Source organism: Homo sapiens, chromosome 18, assembly GCF_000001405.40.
Source record: "Homo sapiens chromosome 18, GRCh38.p14 Primary Assembly".
Lineage (NCBI taxonomy): Eukaryota > Metazoa > Chordata > Mammalia > Primates > Hominidae > Homo > Homo sapiens.
Genome location: NC_000018.10, coordinates 27466605 through 27485906, shown reverse-complemented (window position 1 = coordinate 27485906; position 19302 = coordinate 27466605). Strand labels below are relative to the sequence as shown.

The 19302-nt window shown below is 36.4% G+C and overlaps 1 annotated feature.

Annotated features, from left to right (window-relative positions):
- Window positions 8964-9516: an enhancer, noted in NCBI's record as "OCT4-NANOG hESC enhancer chr18:25056355-25056907 (GRCh37/hg19 assembly coordinates)". NCBI's record gives its function as "activates a minimal SCP1, AML or CMV promoter by ChIP-STARR-seq in naive H9 embryonic stem cells {active_cell/tissue: H9 hESC(naive)}" and the evidence as "EXISTENCE:reporter gene assay evidence [ECO:0000049][PMID:30033119]".

Genomic DNA, 19302 nt, shown 5'->3' with positions numbered 1-19302 from the left:
GTAATGAAAATAAATATAAAGTTCTGTATTTGAACGCAAAAAAATCAACACTATGAGTTTGCAATGCTATAGCTTCATTTGGTAAAGAAAACTGCAGTAATAATATAATAACTTGCATTTATTGAACTTAAAATATGTGCCAGACACTCTACTATATGCTTTATATATCATCTCACTTAATCTTCACAATAATCCTATGCAGTGGGCACTGTTATTATCCTTGTTTTATAGATCAAGATACTAAGCTTTGGATAAGTTAAATAATTGGCCCTTGGTCAACTTAGTCACTGTGTCTGTATTTGAAGCATGGTCTGATTTATAGCAGAGTAAGGACTTTCCTTAATTTCTCAGTTATGATAAGTAGAAGTATTCTCTGGGCACTCAATTATAAAATAATAATAATAATAAGTCAATTCTGAGCTCCTTACCCAATCTTTATAGTGTAAAATGCTAGTTAATAACCTGTACATTAACTTTATGTAGTTTTTTTAAAATTAAAAAAGTTATAAATTAAAATTTAAAAAGTTATAAATACTTTACAATCATTTATTTAATATGTTTAAGGGGTTATGTTTTTCTAGATGTGTTTGATGGACAGAAAATTTTATGTCATTAACATTTTTAATGAAAATAATCCTTGATAGAATGTGTTATGATTTTTAAGTAACCACTATTATTATTTCTGCTAAATGACCCTAACATCTTCATTAGCTTGCATTACCTTTCTAGGGCTTTTACCTTCTCATCCATTTGTTCTTCTATCCATGGGAGAATGAACCTTACTTAGGTTGCATAACATCAAATATGTTTTTATAAATCTCACTAATGAATAGGATCTCTGCCTGGCACTGTGATCATAGAGTCAAATATATTTTAAAGTAGGATTTAAAATCATCTTCCTGTGTGAAAAAAAAATAGTATTTAAAATATCTTTATAAGGACCAAGCATTTAATATATTGCAATCTATTAATAACTTTCCTGTGGTTATCTGTCTCTCCATAGTAAGTCTTACACTGCCTTTCTACTAATGAAAACATTTATACTTCATTTGTATAAACAAATACTTGTTTAAACATGACCTTGGAAAACAAGTTCAGGAAAATTGGTACATTTTATGTGACAGCATAACATAGATTTAAAGAAAATCTTTAGTATAGTCAAACACAATCTACTAACTTTCAATGCCCAATTGAAATAAAGACTAGCTCTTGTAAATAAAAGTGGCACTAAATGTCCCAGTTATCAAGCCACAGAAAACTAAGTTAGTATCAATAGGCCTAAAGCAAAGAACTTTGCTCTCAGTAATGATAGCCCTGGAGCTCTCCACAACCCACTCTCTTAGGAAAGAAAGAGATGTTTATAGGTGATAGTCTAAATCACCATTTGTCCTTCCTTTTTCGCTCCTCATTCCAAGCGTAGATTTGGGCCAAGGCTGAATGCTTAAGCTGTTTAAAAAGAATTTCCTTCCCAGATTTGGTTCTCTAAAAGTAGCACAGTCCTGAGAGAAAGAAAATATTAAACTCTATCTTGGATGGAACGTTTTTAAAATTTGATCATAAAATTTTCTGTCTATCAAACACATCTAGAAAAACATAACTCATGAAACATATTAAATAATTTCTTTGTAAAGTATTTATAACTTTTTTAATTTAAAAAGATAACCGCATAAAGTTATTCATGTGTAGGTTATTAACTAGCATTTTACACTAAAAAGGTCTGATAAGGAACTCAAGAGATCATGAAGCCCTTGAATTGTGTTGATCCATTTCTACACACATGCACAGGAATGTGGCAACATTCAGAGATGCCAGAAGAATGGTGTCTCTGTGAGGCAGGACCACATGCATTCATTCATCCAACATTCACTGAAACTTTCTATGTGCCAAGCACTGATATAGACACTTGGAATACATCACTATACAAATTAAATATCACTGCCTGTCAAGAATGTATATGCTAGTTAGAAAAGACAGTTAATAAACAATGATAGTCATAAATACAATTAGAGCATGTTCAAATGCCATAATTGCAATAACAAAAGCAAGGTGATAGGGACTGACAGGGACAGCTGACAATTTTCATATAGAACCATCATAATAGGCCTCACTGAGCCTTCATCTCTTTGAAAAGGTGGAACTTTAGTAGAGACGTTTAGGAGGCAAGTTGCTTAGCTATGGAGATCATCTGGAGAAAGAGTGATTTAGGTAGAGGAAACAGCTAGCAAAAGGCCCAAAGAAAAGAATGTTTTTGAAGTTTTTGAGGATGAAAAGGAGGCCTGAGTAGCGAAGGGGAGTGTGTGTTTGTGGGAGAGAATGCTGAGATAATGCTGGTCTTGCTGCCATTGTAAAACTTGGTTTTTATTGAATGAAAGAGTTTAAGAGGGTTTTGACCTGAGGAGTGGTGACATAATCTTTGTTTTCAAAGGATCGTGGTGGTTGCTGTTCTGAGAATAGACACTGGGAGCACAGGGAGACAAGGGTAAAAGCCCCAGGGGACTAGTTAAGAGACTAAACCAGGAAACATATCATTGCAGCTTTAACAATGTCCGTAGCAGTGAAGGTAGAGAAAAATGGTTAAATTGTGGATCTAGATGAACGTAGAACTATTGAAGGATTGCCTTGGATATGAGATGGGAGAGAAAGCCCACAGTTGATAATAAAGAATCAAATACCTCGGCTATAGGGCTCTTAGTGTTGTAGAAAAATCATATCAGTTTCACAAGCAAGTAGCAGTGCCTGAAAGGAATGCACTAATTTGGAAAATGAGGGCGTCACTGGTAACGACCCAAAGATGAAAAGTCTTTTTGAATTTTGGGGGTACCACAGAAACCCCTCAAATTTTTCCATGACCCAAATATGGGGGAGGGGGAAACTTTAATAAGTTAAATTGCCTTTCCCTGTAAAATGTCAAATGTATGTAGTCCAAGTAATACATGCTAACATGTGTCATAAAGGCACAGTTTGTGAAAACATTCACAAACATTCACAAACGGAGCACACCTGTGAGACATAAACAGCTCTTTGAAAGCATTGCTTCATCCTCTCTTCCGCTTACCACCCTGGTCGAGTGTAACCGCCAGATTGACTTCTAAGACCATAGTTGAATTTTGCCTGTTTTTATATAGCAGGTATGCTTTGGGGTATAACTTCTTTCACCCAACATGTTGTTTGGGAATCTATCCATATTGTTGCTTGTAGTTATTGTTTATTCATTCTCTTTGCTGTACTTGGGGAGAGCAAACTTTTTCTATAAAAATCCAAACAGTAAATATTTTAGAGTTTGCAGGCTGCATATAGTCCCCAGTTGTTGTTATTCTTGTTTGTTGGTTGATTTTTGTTGTTGTTTTTAAAACCGTTTAAAAATGTAAAATTCATTCTTATCTCAAATGCCAGTAATAAAACAGGCCATGAGCTGTATTTGACCAGGAGGCCATAGTTTGTCAACCCTGCTCCATAGCAGTGTGATGTGGCTACACTGCCATGTACTTATCCATTCAACTGTTGAAGGGCATTGGGAAAGCTTCCAGTTTGGGGCTTGGGAACACTATAGTATATGTCTTTTGGTGCAAATATATACACAATCTTAATAAATATACACCTAGAAATAGAATTGCTAAGTATACAGTGGGATCTCATTGTGCATCTTCTTAGTAACGAATGAAGTTAAGCACCCTCTCATACTGCTTTCTTGGCCATTTTCATACATAAAAATCAAATTAAAGTAAAAAATATGAAAATTATGAAACACAATTTTTAATTTTTGGGGGGTAAGATTATTTAATGTCATTCCAGTGGCTTCCATTTCACTTAGAATAAAATCCAAGCACCTTATTTTGGATTACAAACCTTGATAGGATCTGGTCCCAGTCCCTGCTGACCTCACTGACCTAATTTCATGTCAGTCTCCTTCTGGATCACAATCTTCAGCTATTATGACCTTTAAAAAATTCTTAAACATGTCAGGTTCCTTCTTGTTTCGGGGCCTGTGCACTAGCTGTGTCCTCTGCCTGGAATAATCTTACCTTGATCTTCCTATGATTAGCTCCTTCTTTTCATTCAGGTGCCTGTTTAAATGTCACTTGCTCTGGGAATCCTTACTCTGCTCACCCCATCTAGCCAACCTGCCAGTCACTCTCCTTCCTATCCATCTACAGTAATTCTCTGCCTGCCACTCATTATTACCGAAAAGTTTAGGAGTCATATTTATCTTATTTACTAGAATAGTGCCTACACAGAGGATGCTGTCAATAAATGAGTATGCATATGAGATATGTCAGTTATGAGTTTGAGCCCTACTCCACCATTTATTAGAAAAATGTCTCTACCAATGGTCCCAATGCATAGTCACTGGGTCTGAGATGTGACTTGTTACCAAGGTGGACTGACTTGAAAAGATGACTTTGACTAATCAGGTTTCCTCTAGGAATCTGAGCCAGGAAACAAAGAAAGAATTGCCAAAAAGCAGTGAAGTCTGCCTCTGAAAGATCATGAAGCAGGACTGTGATTGGGGGATACTGTGAAAGGAGTAGGGAGGGAAGAAACTAGAAGTCAACAGAGGAAGGCAACTGTGAGTGAAAGAGAAAGAAGCATTCCCACTTTGAGTAGCTGGGAAGCAACCGCAGGTCACCAGAATGAAGATCTCTCACAGCCTAGTTCTCTAGAGTCATTTTGGATCTAGAACAAATCCCCAGATCCCTGAGACCCACACTACTGTGGCTTTGCCGTGAGAGTTCCATGGGATTTTGCTTGGATTTAAAGCAAATCGTCCTTTATTGGTAGTACCTTAAACAAATCTTCATTCCTCCAATGCAAACAGTCTGACTATAATATTACAGTGGCCTAAGGGTGAATACTTAATTATCAGTTGATTAATATTTATTTATCGAACATGAGATCAGTTCACCAATAAGCAGGAATTGAAACAATGCCAAGTTCAAGCTATTGGGTATAGGAAACTGGGACATGACTTTACAACAAAATAATAGAGTACAGCTGCAATATTTTTTTTTGCTGCAAGTTCTTCCCCTCTTGGCAGTCAGTGGGCACCTTGCATTTCAGTGATAATCTACAGCCCCCTGCAGCGAGCCCAGCAGCCTACACCTAATCAGGGGCAATCATAAGTAAGGTTATTTTGCACCATTTGGCTATAATTAGACCAGCTTTCTTTTTAGTGATTCATTAGTATGATACTTTGCTTTCAGAACAAACTCAATCTAAATTCCTCTGTAAGTAGTGGCAGAGTTGTGGACCAAAATGAGAACTATTGATAACAATAAGAACAACCAAAAACAGAAAGGGATATTGCCCGGTTTCCCTCCATTCCCAAATTGCAAATTGCAAAGGAGACAAAAGCAGCAACCTGTCTGCTGGCACTGTTTAACAATAACCTTCGTATACTCTGCTCCCAAAGAGAGCTGGCTGACAATTAGATCCTCACAGCACTGTTAGACTTGCTCATGAAATTATTTTAATCCCAAATTTTCCTTTCTATTTCAAGAAGGGAAATATAATAACATGAAATCCACATATCTTTCACCTGACCATAGTCTCCTGTTGTTTTTAGTGTATGAATCATATAAATTGATTAGCTCTTAATGGAACCAACTTTCACACAGAGAGTATTTGCAGCCATTGCCATTTCAATATGGAAAAAGCAGTCACAGTAATAAGAAAAGGAATATCTGTTTATTTAGTGAAATAAAGATTAAATATTGAATAAGCCCTCAAATGAAGGCATATTGTAGGTGCTAAGGAATGATGATTGCAAAGATATGGAGAGAAAAGAGAGCAGTGTCTGCATTGAAACACTCCTAAAGTCAACAAAGATCTTCTTCAGCTGTCATATGAATACAAATAGCTTGGGCATCTTATTATCTGATTCAGTAGTTCTTGAGTGAGGCCCAAGATTCTGCGTTTCTCACAAACCCCTACTGATGCGATGCTGCTCATCAGAGGAACATGCCCTGAATTGCAAGGGTCTAGGGATGTGCTCTCCAATGGAAATATAATGTGAGTCACATGTGCCATTTTAAATTTTCTAGCTGACACATTTGAAAAGTAAAAAAAAAAAAATAAATGAAGTTAGTTTTAATAATATATTTCGGCTGGGCATGGGAGCTCATGCCTGTAATCCCAGCACTTTGGGAGGCAGAGGCGGGTGGATCATGAGGTCAGGCATTCGAGACCAGCCTGGCCAACGTAGTGAAAGACCGTCTCTACTAAAAATACAAAAAATTAGCTGGGCGTGGTGGCAGCCGCCTGTAATCCCAGCTACTCGGGAGGCTGAATCACTTGAACCTGGGAGGCAGAGGTTGCAGTGAGCTGAAATCGTGCCAGCCTGGGCAACAGTGCAAGACTCTGCCTCAAAAAAAAACCACAAATATATAGATATATATTTTATGTAACATCATGTATCTAAAATATTATTTTATATGTAAACAACATATTAATTAGATATTTTGCTCTTTTTAAAATACTACACCTTCAATATCTGTTGTGTAGGTTATACTTGCAGCTCATCTCAATTTGGATGACCCACATTTCAAGTGCTCAGTAGCTTCCTGTGTCTGGTGGCTTCCATGTTGGTGGTGTGAGTTTAGAGGATAATTTTTACTTTGAACTCCAGGAACATGCATGAACCTATAAATCACTGGTCAGTAGCTCCCTATCCCAGTGAGTTCCATAAACTATTACAGCATGCATTTGGCTCATTGACTTTTATGTGAAGCTGAATATTCAAATTTCACCATGAAAAGTTATTTAGTGGGTGTGCGAGGTGAGTTTATTGAGTCATTAGTACTCTGTGACACCCTATAATTGGGGTAATTAACTTTTTTCAGATTGCTAAATCTTGAAAAGCAAAGAGAAGGACAAGACTAGGTATGTTTTCATAGGGAATAATAGAAATATGGAGGAAATGAGAAATGGTATGAAAAATAGGCCAACTGAAAAAAGTAAAATGACATGAGATTCCACAGTAGGCTCTTTGGACAATGTACTAAACCGGAAAAGACTGAGGATGTTTTCCAGAGCGGTGAAAGGCAAAGAGGAGTAGTGAGCTACATGGAATACTTAGAATTAAATTAAGGTGCCACGTGCCTTAATTTTGAAATCAAAGAAACAATATGCTGTAGCATATCATCATTGTTTACATTTAAAGTAGTGCATGTAAATCCAGAGTGACTAGTGTCTAAGAATCATCAGGGAGGACTTTTTCAAATGACATGCAAGCCTACAGAGATTCTAATGACTCCCTTCTCCCAACCCAACCAGATTACAGAATGCAGTAATGACTCACTCTTGGTAATTGTTACATGATGTATCTCTAGAGTCAAAAGCCATATATTTTAATGTATTCTTAATTAGATTTCATTTATTGTAACCAATAGTTTAGTTAGTCTTTGGGGGTAGAACATATACCAATACTAAATTACATTTCTGTTTTCCACTTATTCATTGATTCATTCATTCCTTTTTAAAATTATTTTTATTTATTTATGTATGTATTTATTTATTTATTTTGAGACAGAGTCTTGCTCTGTCTCTCAGGCTGGAGTGCAGTGGCGTGATCTCGGCTCACCACAACCTCTGCCTTCAGAGTTCAAGCAATTCTCCTGCCACAGCCTCCCGAGTAGCTGGAATTACAGGCATGCGCCACCACGCCCAGATAATTTTTTAATTTTTTTTAGTAGAGATGGGGTTTCACTATGTTGGCCAGGCTGGTCTCGAACTCCTGACCTCAGGTGATCCGCCCACCTTGGCCTCCCAAAGTGCTGGTATTACAGGCATGAGCCACCACACCCAGCCTCATTCCTTTTTTTTTTTTTTTTTTTTAACATATGACTGGATGGATACTACATAAAGAGTAAATCGGTTAGTTTTCACCATTTCAAGAAATTTATTTTCCAAACCTTTGAATTTAGGTATCATTTAAAGATCTTATTCTGTTAAGTTTCCCCTGCCTTCCACCCTCGAGAATTTTTAGGGTACATAATTTCATGTCGTAGCTAGATACTTCTTTGCAGCAATTAGAAGGCACAAATACCCATGTTCAGTATAATAAAGCCTCATGGCTCCCAAACATGCAAATTTAGAATGTGTATGAATTCAGACTTACTTAGAACTATCATTTATTCTTGTGGCACCATGCATTCTTATTGAACGCACACAAATTTAATCTGCAGGTTTAATCACACATTTTAAATCTGTTTCAGCATCTTGATCACACCAAATTTTATATAAAATACTTGTTCATAAATAATCATCTTCCTTATATTAAGGCCAGTGTGGAAGGACCTCTATTTTTCAGCATTCATTAGCCATTAATTGTATGCATATATAACTCTGGGTCAGGAAATGAAATTTAATTTAAGACCTTCTAGAAAAGTGATATCTATTAATTTAGTCTGGTTTCCTTTCCAATTGTGTTATTAGAAAAGTTTTATCTTTTCTGAAATTTATTGTTCCATGCAACATGGTTTGGAAAGAAATCCCCTAAACATTCTTAAAAATGTGTGGTATGTTGACCACCGAAACCCACACACAATAAGGGTATAGGCCTTTTGATGCGTTAAATGCTATGAGGCTAGAGTTAAGGGTCTTATGTCTTGTGCCTAAGGTTTCTTGACTTTTTCTTTTTATTCAGCTGAAATGTTCCATAGAAAACAAACAATAGGAAAACAAGAAACTAAATAAACTGTATTATCTAGAGTTTTAGTGTCTGTGCTAACCACGAAACCAAGACTAGGCCTTTTAAGTAGACTCTGGTCAGTAATTAGCCTACCCACCTTCATGCTTTTGCTCATAGGCAATCTAGAGTCTTAACTTACAATTTCTTTTGCTTGATGGAAAATACCCAAGTAGTCATCTTCACATGTTCTTTTATTTGTATCATCCATTTTTGATTATGAATATTTTCATCTAGTATGATGGATCAGTATATAATTTCTTTTCTGCTTATGTGTCCAGTTCCTGAGGTTTATAAAAATCACTTTTTTAAATTTATTTATTTATTTATTTATTTATTTATTTATTTATTTATTTATTTTATTGATCATTCTTGGGTGTTTCTCACAGAGGGGGATTTGGCAGGGTCATAGGACAATAGCGGAGGGAAGGTCAGCAGATAAACAAGTGAACAAAGGTCTCTGGTTTTCCTAGGCAGAGGACCCTGCGGCCTTCCGCAGTGTTTGTGTCCCTGGGTACTTGAGATTAGGGAGTGGTGATGACTCTTAACGAGCATGCTGCCTTCAAGCATCTGTTTAACAAAGCACATCTTGCACCGCCCTTAATCCATTTAACCCTGAGTGGACACAGCACATGTTTCTGTTGATCTGTGACCTTACCCCCAACCCTGTGCTCTCTAAAAATCACTTTTAATCAAGGGATCTGTTGCTTGGCCACACTAGGAGAGTTCCAGGGTTATATAGCATTTGCAGAATTTGGTTGCTTTCTTCACTTCTACTGTGGCTTAATGGGTTATGTTTTAGAAGTTCATTCTCCTCTCACCTAAGTTATACACTATTAAATGATTTTATTTTAATTATCTTATTCCCATTTTTATCACATTGCCATAATTTCTCTTCATGCTTAATTTGTTAGCTACTTTAATGGGGGGGAAAAAAGCATTCCCTGGTCTTTCTGTTTCTAAGCATCAGAATTGGATGGGTCATGGTAAAGTTGCTAATGAAGACCAGCTGATGGCAAGTTGTTGATTGTGAATTTGTGAGCCTGCCAAAAGAGGGCAGAAAAAAAATCCATAGCTTCAACATTTTAAAGAGATCGAATAGTCAAATCATAAATTGAGGCAGTTTTCAATATAAGCAGAGATGTGACAACCAGAATGACTTCAAATGGCTTATTTTATTTTTCCAATTGATATTGTCAGAAAACCGTATCACTATACTATCTCTTACCTAATAGTAGTAATTTTGATATAGTTATTTTTGACAAATGGACAAAAAGATAACTAAGTTGAGCTATTTTAATAAAACTTGCATCATTTCTCTCATACACACATAAATATTTTGTTTATTGTGATTTCCTTGTATTTTGTCATTTGGTTTTTATTTCATTATATTATCTTGATTATGAGGAATTTTTTTCTTCTAAACAAAAATAGATAAAATCAAAATTAGCCTATATTCTTCCTATGTTATAATGTAACCATTATAGATATGTATGTGCAAAAACTATGTCTGAAAAATGTAAAAAGCAGAGGCTGTGACTCTGACAGATGTGGTTGGAATTTTGTTCCTGCTGCTTTGATCTGTGTGGCAATGTGTACTTTTCCTTACTTCTGTGAGCCTCACCTTTCTTATCTATGAAGTGGACATAAGCCCTGTCTGACACAACTTTCCTCTCTACTTGAAAATCTATGTGCCAGAAACATTTAGTTTTTTCATGTTTTTTTTTTAATTTTAATTTTTAGTTCTGGGGTACATGTGTAGGATGTGCAGGTTTGTTACACAGGTAAACGTGTGCCTTGGCGGTTTGCTGCACCTATCAACCCATCTATGTACTAAGCCCAGCATGCATTGGCTATTTTTCCTAATGCTCTTCTTCCCCTCTCCTCACCCCGACAGGCCCCAGTGTGTGTTGTCCCCACCCCATGTGTCCATACGTTCTCATTGTTCAGCTCCCACTTATAAGTGAGAATACACAGTGTTTGGTTTTCTGTTCCTGTGTTAGTTTGCTGAGGATAATGACCTCCAACTTCATCCATGTCCCTGCAAAGGACATGATCTCATTCCTTTTTATGGATGAATAGTATTCCATGATGTATATGTACCACATTTTTTTTTATCCTGTCTATCGTTGGTGGGCATTTGGGTTGATTCCATGTCTTTGCTATTGTGAATAGTGCTGCAGTGAACATATGTGTGCATGTATCTTTGTAATGGAATAATTTATATCATGTTCTTTTTCACTTCTCTTCCTTTAAGCTGTGTTCTGCCTGAAAGGCTCTCCTCCACTCTTCCACCAATTCCATGCCTGGCTCAGTCCTAAATCTTTTAGAGCTCGCTGTTTCTTTCTGCAAGAAAGCTTTACTGTGTGCTGGTGACCCTCTTCCTCTTCTGCTTAGGCCCCCATGTTGCAAGTGCCTTTGCTGTCTTCCCACACCTCCAGCACCATTGCCATTATTGGACCTAACAGAGTGTACTGAAAATGTGTTTATGTGTCTGTACTGCTCAACAGCCTGAGACCACCTGTGCCTTATTCATCACGTTCTCCTCTTGGTTTAGCCCAGTGCCTGATCCTGGACTGATGCTTGTTAGAAACCATCATCTCCCTGCCAGCGCTCCCTAGTCTCTCTAGATCCATGCAACCATGTTGTGTTCCATGGTTTCTAGGGCACATTAATCATAGTGCCCACACATTTTATGTCTTTTCAACTTGTCTCCTCATCTACATTGTGAGATCTTTGAAATTCTAATAATTCCAATTCTAATTGAACAATTCCAACTCGCTCATCCTGCTATCTTCAGAGCCTTATATAAGACCTGGCATAGAGTGGTCTTATATAAGACCTGGCAATTAGAAAATGCAAATTGAGCCAGGCACAATGGCTCACACTTGTAATCCTAGTGCTTTGAGAGGCCGAGGCAGGCGGATAGCTTGAGCCTGGGCAGTTCGAGACCAGGCTGGGCAACATGGCAAAGCCCTGTCTCTACAAAAAATACAAAAATTAGCTAGGCATGGTGGAGCATGCCTGTAGTCCCAGCTACTTGGGAGTCTGAGGTGAGAGGATTGCTTGAACCCAGTAGGCAGAGATTGCAATGACCTGAGATCGTGCCACTGCACTCCATACTGGGTGACAGGAAGAGACCCTGAAAAAAAAAAAAAAGAGGAAAGAAAGAAAAGAAAGAAAAGAAAAGAAAAGAAAGAAAATGCAAATTGGAATGAATAAATTATTTTGAAAGCTTATTCCTTAAAGACTAGCCTTTTTAAGGCCTTATTTTGATAATAATCATTACCAGTTCTCCAGTTTAGGGAAGTTAAACCACATTCTTGTTTATATGAATCCGGCAATAGTTAATTGATAAAGATACTATATTATCTTTATATATATTATATGTGGACATCTCTATGTACATTAGAAGTTCATTGAAATAAAAAACCATATTATTTTTTCTGTGAAAACAAAGTATAGCTTTTAGATTGAATGCTAAAATTCTGTTCATCGGTCTGTAAACGATCCCTGTTTAAATGCTGTCTGGAGGCAGCACTTAACGTTATGAAAGGAACTTCAGATATGCTTTCAAAGATTAACTTCCAACTCAATGATCCATTGTGAGGTCTTATTGCTCCACATAAAAATAGACTCTACCTTATTGGGTCATTTGTTAAAATTATACCACTTAATTTGGTGCAATGCCATGCGTAGTTATTACTCAACCTCAGCCAGGCCTTCCATGAGTTCATCATTCCTCTCATTCACTCCTACTTAACTCCCTAGCTGATTCTTTACAACAGATAATCCGAACATTTTACACTCATTGCAAATTCATAACTGCAGTTCGGTGCTTGCATGCTCAGCTGACTTTGCCTCCTACTTCATGATACAATCAACGGCAGCTAATGTGGATTTCTGCCCTTTGTAAACCTCTCTGACTTCACATATTATTTTTGCTCACCCTCTCTTCTCTCTTCTTCTCTTTCTTCCCCCACCATGCTACCATTCCATCTTCTTCTTTCCTGACAACTTTCTAGAAAACATTGTATTTTAACACCATATATAATTCCCAAACTCCCCTCTCATTGGAAAGGTCACTTACAGCCATTTTGTTAAAATCAACTGTGGTCCGTCCTTATTTTCATACAACCCAGCTTGCCATTGAATAGCTTTGGCATCAAATATGGCTTGGAGGCTTTTAGTCTTTATCACCATGATTTCTGCTACCACTCCCCACCCGGCTCAAGTTATACTCAACACAATGCAATCTAGATAAAAATGGTATTCTTCTAAAAATACAGTGAAAAGGCTAATCTGTCAACTAGCTTCCCTTCTTATTGCTAAGCACCTGGTACATGAAATTCTGTAGGCATTAGAACTGCAGTATTTGATATTGAAGGATATCTACTTCTGGAAAATCTTTCTTGCCCCCAAGATGAAGCTCTCTTCTATTTGTCTTCCTGTGCGCTCTCCTTATATGGCTTTTTTGTCTCTGTTGGTCCCCATATTTAGGCTTTCTCTTAGGATCTAGCTGGGCTCTTTGCTCTCCTGGGGTAATTTCATTCATTCCTTTGGCTCCAATGATCACTTTTCTCCTAATCCCTCCTACATTGTCAGCTCGAAATTTAAACTCACTTTCTTTTAAATTAACCCCTAAATTCACACAGGAGATTATGTAACTATAGGTGTTCTTTAAAAACATACATGACTTATGTGAGTATCTATAAAAGAAAAGAAAATACATTTTATGTAGCAGTGCTCTTCATGAATTTAATCTGGTTCTCATTTTTATTCAAGAGCCATTGAGTTTGTATCCAAATATTCTCAAAATCTTCTGCAAACATCTGGATTTTTTTCCTTCAGGAATCCCTAACACAAAATAAAGAAATACACTTAAAATGTGTGGGCTATGTATCCAACTGATGTCCTATTTAATCCAGAACATGGTAAATGTTGTTTATCTTGCACCATGATCCACATGAATTAGAACTGAAGATAATAGAACTTCTGATATCTTAAAGAAAGAAACCATTATTTTGATAACAATCAAAAAACTTTCCTTAATCTCTAAACAGGGAGCAAATTTCACTGTGATAATCTTGTTTTGAGATTGCTGATTAACTGATTTGTGGGAAATTAATCAGCTTATTTTATCTTTTATACAGAGAAGCAAGCTTATTGCTCATGTCTGGGTGAAGAGAGTGCCTAACAATATTAACATCAATGACTACTACTATGATGATTTTTAGGTGCTAAATGATGGCACTATACTGGGATCTTTAAATATTTTCTTATTTAATTCTCACACTAATCCAAAGAAGTAGACTCTATTATTATCCCTAATTCCTAAATAAGAAAACTGAGATTAGAGGATCACCAGTAACTTGCTAAAAGTTATCCAGCTAGTAAGTGGCAAAGGCAGAATTTGAATTCAGATCTGACTAATTTCAAAAACTGATGTTCTTATCTAGTTATGGGATAAAGAACATAGAATTATGTATCTAAGAAGGCTCTCATTTCAGCTCTGCCATTATTTACTGTGTTACTCTGAGCAAATTACATAAACTCAATAGGCCTTAATGTGTATACACACATAGACTGAACTAAGGCCCCTTTATTGTTCTAAGTATTTTCAACTTCTTATTTGTCTCAGTTTTTATTCTTCAGATCTGTAGAAATACATTAGAACTTCAGGCCAGTGTCAATTCTGGGTGATTTCAAAGAAATCACAAAGATTTCTTTACAAAGAAAAGCTGATTCTATACCTTGTACATACAATGTGATAAGCCTTGGATATACAATGGTGAGCAAAAGTAGGTATGAACTTATATATATAATATATATATCAAGATCATATGTATGGAATATATATATTATATATATGAAGACAGGGGTGTGTGTGTGGGTGTGTGCATATATATATGTGTGTGTGTGTGTGTGTGTGTGTGTGTATACACACACCTGCTTCTCTATGTTAAAAAGTCAAATCCTGGGCTGGGACCCTGTACTTGTTGGTCTAGTAATAGCCTAACCATTAACTGCAACCACCTTCCTAGATTATGTGTTTAGGAGTTTCCTTACATTTCAGCATTAGGTTTCTGAACATATCTTCAAAATAAGCAAGCAAAACTAAGACTGTGGTACTAGAATCTTGTCTGGGTCATGCCCTCTTGAAAGTTACACTGACCAAATTCTTTCCCATTTAATGAGGAAGAATAATTTTCCTCCTTCCTGCCTTACCATCTTCATTTAATGATAATTCCTTGGGCAGCTTTGTAATGATGTATTCTCTATTCAAATGATTAAAAACTATTAAAGTCTTGAAAATATGATATATGATGAGTTCATTTCTACCAAATATATTTAAGCATGTTGAAGAAAAGTAGTTCTATATATTGTTTTCATTTATCTTTCCTCCAAAAAATGCTTATCTTAAAAATTATTTATAATGAATATGAAAATCATCTAAGTTTTCTAGATAAAATGTCTATACTCTTTAATTTTAGTACCTATAGAGGAAAGAAGCATGAAATATTCCTTTTTAAGGAAAAATATAAACTTTAAAATTATTATTTTAGAAAATATAAAATTATTAAACTGATCACACTCAAACTAAGATTGAGAGCAACGCAGAATAGCTTTTGTAACATTTTTTTTAACCCATTAGAAAGCTAAACAATAAAAAAGCTAAATAGTGGGATGAATAATTTCAAGAAGACAATCCCATGGCTGCTTTTATTCCCTGGGGGTAATGGTAATAAGGAAAAGGAGAAATCATCCCAAATTTACAAAGTTTTACTAACAGTGTATGGGCTTGGCATGAGAGAGAATATTGAAGAGATCCAGCCACAGAGATTGTCAGCACCCAGTGAGCCCTCTGAGGTATGTGAAACCGCCCACTAAGTGCAAGGCAACAGCCCACCTAAGACAAAGGGCAGAGCAGGAGAGCAGAGAGAGCTTCCTACCTTGAGGAGCCTTAGGAGCTCTGCATCTCTGCAGGGCTGAAGGCTGTGATGGGACAGCCAATTTCCGCCTCTCTGCCATCTTTGCCAATTACATTGCAGAAGCCTGCTGAAGGATGGGCAGGGCCACAGGAGTGAGGAACTTTTCAAAGTCGGAAAGCTTTTCTTTGATGGGTGGCAACTTCATCCCAGTTCTGATTTTTCCACCTTTATCTAAACACTGCTTTGAACCATACATACACGTGTGATTTATTGAACTTTGAGGGTTAGGGCTTCAACATACCAACTGGGGGTTGGGGAAGACACAATTCAGTCCATAGGAGTTGGGGTTGCCATCCTCAGTTTCTCTCTTTCCTGAGACTCCCCTTTACTTTTGCAATGGCCATGAGTGCCCTTAGTCCATCCTCTGGTAACCTAGACAGTAAAATGCTGAGTTTTGCACAGGGGTTCCACCTTCCTCGAGTCGTGCTTCAACTGCAGTCCGCACTTCAGCAAAAACAGCAAAAGCAGGGAAATGACACTGCAACAAATGTTTATTCTCTCTAAAATCTTTATGACCTTTTTCTTTTTTTAAAACTTTCCACAGCCTTTAGAAGGTTGTTTTAGTTATTGTTCTTGTTTTGTTTGCTATTGCATACAGAGTTGATAATTTTCATTGCCACTGATTAATATGGCTATCGTTTTGTTAATACCACACTTTCTCTATTTCTCTAGTTCAGGGGTTCTTAATCAAGGGTAATTTTGCCCCACAGAAGATGTTTTGTAATGCCTGGAGTCACTTTGATTGTGGCAACTTGGTGGGGAGGTGCTACGGGCATCTAGTGGTCAAATATGCTGCTAAACATTCTACATAGCACAGAACAGCATCTCACCCTCACCCATGACAAATACTGCTGAAAGCAATTAAAGAGGATCAGAATAAATGAAGATAGATACTATGTTCTTTGGAAGACACAACATTGTTAAGCTGTCTGCTGTCCTCAAATTGATGTGTAGATTCCACAGAATTCAAAGTCACAGCAATCTCTCTTGAAAAAAAAAAAGACAAGCTGATTTAAAAATGTACATGAAAATGAAAGGATCAAGAAGAATAAAACAACTTGTATGATAAGAACAAAGTTGGAGGGTTCATATTACCTGATTTCAAGATGTACTATAATGCTATGGTGTGGTATTGCCATAAATGTAGGCTAATAGATCAGTGGAAGTGAATAGGGAGTCCAGAAATAAACCCAGCTATGCACAATTAATTTTGAAAATGGAGATAAAAATTCAATAGGGAGAGCAAGGTATTCAAACATATCCTATTGCCACAACCGCACATGGAAAAAATAAACAGTGTCCCAATCTCATTCCCATGCATACAAATAATTCTTGGTTGAATCACAAAGTTCTTAAAAGAAATATAGTTTTACTAAACATTGCCAAACTGCTGAACAATGTAATTTTACTAATTTACACTCTCGCCAGAAGGTATGAAATTCTATTTCCCCACATCCTCGAGAATACGTTGTTATTGTCAGGTTTTAGATGCTTGTCAGTTCTTTCACTTTCTGAAAATAAAATCTTCAGGGACCCCAATACTCAGATCTATGTTGACTTTCTCAGGTGTCTGTACTCTGAGAAAAGGGGATTATCCAAGCATTTCAAAGATTAATGGACACAAGGTCTCAGCCGATATTAATATCCAGAGACCTGAAGCATCATCATGTCTCTCCTGTTAAGAGCAGGACTTAACAAGGACTGGTTAATTCATGGCAGGTATAAATCTTCATGACCTTGAATTTGGCAATGGATTCTTAGGTATTATGCAAAAATCCCAAACACAAACAACAACAAAAGTAGGTAATTTGGACTTCATCAAAATTAAAAAGTTTTATTCTTCAAAGGACATCATCAAGAAAGGGGAAAGTTAAGCTATAGAAATGGGGAAAAATATTTGCAAATTATGTATCTGATAAGGGTCTACTATCCAGAAGATATAAAGGACTCTTACAATTCAACAACAAAAATCACAAACAGTCCAATTTAAAAAATGGGCAAGGGCTTGAATAGGCATTTCTCCAGTAAAGACATACAAATAGCCAAGAAGCACAGGAAAAGATACTCAGCATCATCAGTCATTAGGAAAATGTGAATCAAAACCACAATGAAATAGTATTTCATGCCCACTAGAACGGCTAGAATCAAAAAATTGGAAAATGAGTGTTGGCAATGATGTGCAGGATTGGAACCATTGTATATTTTTGGTAGGAATGTAAAATGGCCCAGCTTCTGTGGAACACAGTTTGGCAATTCACAAAAAGTTTAAACAAAGAAATACCACATGACCCAGTAATTCCACCCATAGGCATATACACAATAATTCAAAACAAGCATTTAAACAAATACCTGCTTAAATACACACACGTTCGTAGCAGCACTGTTTACAATAGCCAAAAAGTAAAACAGCCCAAATGTCTATCAATAGATTAAATGATAAACAAATTGTAGTATATACACAGTGAAATATTCTTCAGAAGTAATGAAATAATGATCCATGCTACAATGTGGATGAACCTTGACACTTTGGGAGGTCAAAGTTGGAGGATGGCTTGAGACCAGGAGTTCTAGGCCAGCCTGGGCAACATAGCAAAACATTTTTTTCTACAAAAATCAACATTATAAAAAAATTGGTGCACCTGTACACCTTGCTACTCAGGAGGCTGAAGCAGGAGGATCATGTGAGCCCAGGAGTTATAGGTTACAGTAAGCTACAGCCATGCCATTGCACTCTAGTCTGGGTGGCAGAGCAAGAACATGTCTCAAAAAAAAAAAAAAAAATTGCCAAATCTGTTTTGTGAATTTTGCCTCAATATTTTTTAATGAAATAAAATGGAGAAAAATAATCTCTACTTAATATGTCACTGAATATGGCTCTCCAGAGTTGTAAGGTGGCTTTCTGCAATTGAAGCAATATCTGAAGTGACTAAGAGCTGATGGGTGCTCATTCATTGCACACTCAGCAGACAAGCCCTTCCTTGAAACAAAATCTGAACAGCACATCTCTGTGTCTACCACTTAAGATTACTCATATTTTTCTGTCTTCTTATGTTCCTTTTTTTCCCAAGATTTTTCCCCTTTACCTAAATTCTCAAATTATTAATATAAAATTGTTCATAATATTATCTTTTTATTTTCTGAAAAATATCTAGAATTCTCTCATAACTTCCTGATGTTGTTTGTATGTGGTGGGGGAGAGGGGGCAGGAGGTGAGTGTGTGACCTTTCTTTTATTTTCTAGAATTTCATCACAATAAGTTTAACAACTTTATTTTTCAAAGGATCCATTGATGGCTTTGTGGAGCCCATCATATTTTTTCCACTAATTCTATTCTTAAAGTTATTACATTCTTTCTTCTAATTTCTCTGGTTTTAATTAACTTATTCTTCTAAATTCTTGAAATGCATGCTTACTATTGACTACTGAGCTGTTTATTTACTTATTTTGTCTAATCTATGTATTTAGGTCTATATGTTTTTCTCTCAGCAAAGTTTTAGGTTTATCCAACAAATGTTGCTATAGTGTATGTCAGTTATAATTAAATTAAAATAGTTTCTAACTTCTACTGTGATTTCTTCTCTGCTCCATGGGTTATTTAGAAATTTCTAAATATGGTTTCTAAGC